The sequence below is a fragment of the Homo sapiens genome, chromosome 10, assembly GCF_000001405.40.
Source record: "Homo sapiens chromosome 10, GRCh38.p14 Primary Assembly".
In the NCBI taxonomy this organism is placed as follows: domain Eukaryota; kingdom Metazoa; phylum Chordata; class Mammalia; order Primates; family Hominidae; genus Homo; species Homo sapiens.
This window is the reverse complement of record NC_000010.11, coordinates 5,302,753-5,305,182: the sequence shown is the minus strand read 5'-3', so window position 1 is coordinate 5,305,182 and position 2,430 is coordinate 5,302,753. Positions and strand designations below refer to the sequence as shown.

The window sequence follows — 2,430 nt, the reverse complement described above, 5'->3', positions numbered from 1 at the left end:
ATTTGAAAATAACAGAAACTGATGAGTCTTAGGCAATTTGCATGAACATAGTGCAAAAATAGAATAGTTTCTCCTGAAATTGATCAAATAATTGCGAGTCTTTGAAAAATTAGTGAGTTAATATTAATCTTCATAAATTGGTATATTTTTGCAATCTGAATATTTCTGTTCATGCGAGTGTGAGATGCTAATATTTAATGCTGCACAGTTCTCTTCTACAATATGCCAGGTTATATAGTTTAAATGTTTGAGTTGAAAAAAGACATTAATAACCAGTGGGGCCCTTTGTGGCCATCACTGAAGTGGGAGTGGCCAAAATGAAGTTCAATCCCTTTGTGACTTCTGACCGAAGTAGTAACTGCAAAAGGCATTTCAATGCGCCTTCCCACATTCACAGGACAGTTATGTCTTCCCCTCTTTCCAAAGAGCTGAGACAGAAGTACAACGTTTGATCCATGCCCGTCTGAAAGGATGATGATATTCAGGTTGTGTGAGGGCACCATAAAGGTCAGCAAATTGGCAAAGTAGTCCAGATTTACAGAGAGAAATATGTCATCTACATTGAATGGGTGCAGCGGGAAAAGGCTGATGACACAACTGTCCGTGTAGACTTTCGCCCCAGCAAGGGGATTATCAGTAGACTAAAACTGGGCAAAGAGCACAAAAAGATCCTTGCATGGAAAGCCAAATCTCACCAAGTAGGAAAGGAAAAGGGCAAATACAAGGAGGAAACAATTGAGAACATGCAGGAATAAAGTAATCTTGTATACAAGCTTTCATTAAAACTTGAAAAAAAAAAACTGGTGGGGATAATGTAACACAGATATAGTACAGGGAGAGGTTAAAAGTGTCTGTATGCCTATGTGTGTGTGCCTGTACGTGTTCATGTGTGTATGCATGGGTGCATAAGTGTGTTTTTGTGGTATGTGTGCTCGCCTGTGTGTGCATGTATGTGGGCTTGTACTGGTTCTCCTTTACTTTTTTGTTTTAATCAGAGGAAAGTGAATAATAGGTGAAAAGAGAGAGGGTCTATTTTGATCTAAAAGTAGTGTGGTGGGGGGGTTAGAATTGCCCCTGGGGAAGGTAATGTTCTTGATTGCAAATCCTACGGCAGGTAAATAAGCCCTTCCATAATCAGAAAAAGCAGCTCGCTGTTCTCTAAGGAAGGGAAGGGTCTCCCAGTCAGCACGTGCTCTTGAATTGTGCAAATGTGAAGGAAAAGATTTAAAAAAAAATTACAGTGATCGTGGCTGTCTTAGTCTGTTTAGGCTTCTGTAACAAAAATGCCATGCAGAGGGTGACTTATAAACAGCAGAAATTTATTTCTCAACATTCTGGAGGCTGGGAAGTCCAAGATCAAGGCTCAGGCAGGTTTGGTGTCAGGTGAGGGTCTGTTTCCTGGTTCTCGCTGTGTTGTCACATGGCAGAAGGGGCAAACAAGCTCCCGCAGGCCTCTTTTCTAAGGGCACTAATCCCATTCATGAGGGCCCCATCCTCATGACCTCATCAACTCCAAAACTCCACTTCTTAGTACTATCACCTTGAGGGTAGGATTCAACATATGAATTTTGGAGGGATACAGACATTCAAGACATAGCAATGGCCAAATGCACATTGCTAGGGAAGCTAAATGAGCTCATGCTTTCATACTTGAAGACAAAAATGGCTTTAACATATTTCATAAAAACCAGTGCAGTTGAGAGAAAATGGAGATTTAAAATTTCATGTAAAGTAAATGGTGATAAATAAAAGTCGAATCTCCCATCTGTTTTCCTTTCATCTTCTCCATCAAAGATAATACTTTGGTTTTAAAAAGGGCAGGGGAAATGAAATTGGAAGATAAACTAGATAACATGATTTTAAAGCAGACTTCAAGTTCAAAAAAGGTACTTATCCTTTGGTTCAGTTTAGAAATCCACTCAATGTTGACTGAAATGAATAGAAGTTGTTGCAGGTCCTAAGCTGGGGAGAAGTTGCTGAACCACAGTCAATGATCCTTAAAGAATCATGAATAGAATAAGACTGGTGGACAAATGTACATTCATTGTTTGTTGAAATATCAATTTAATAAAGTGAATTCTGCACACTACAGTTCTAGAAAATTAACATCAACATTGGACAATACTTTTAATTTTTGTGTGTGTGCACATGTGTGTGTGTGAGACAGAGTCTTGCTCTGTTTCCCAGGCTAGAGTGCAGTAGCATGATCTCAGCTCACTGCAGCCTTGACCTCAAGGGCTCAGGGCTCCCAGCTACTCAGAAGGCTGAGGCAGGAGAATCGCTTGAACCCGGGAGGCAGAGGTTTCAGTGAGCCGAGATTGCACCACTGCATTCCAGCCTAGGCAACAGAACAAGACTCCATCTCAAAAAAAAAAAAAATAGGGCAGCTAGGCATGGTGGTATACCCCTATAGTCCCAGCCATATGGGAG

General features: G+C 40.6%; 1 pseudogene; it reads left to right on the top strand.

Moving 5' to 3' along the window:
- RPL26P28 (ribosomal protein L26 pseudogene 28) lies at positions 282–803 on the top strand (annotated as a pseudogene).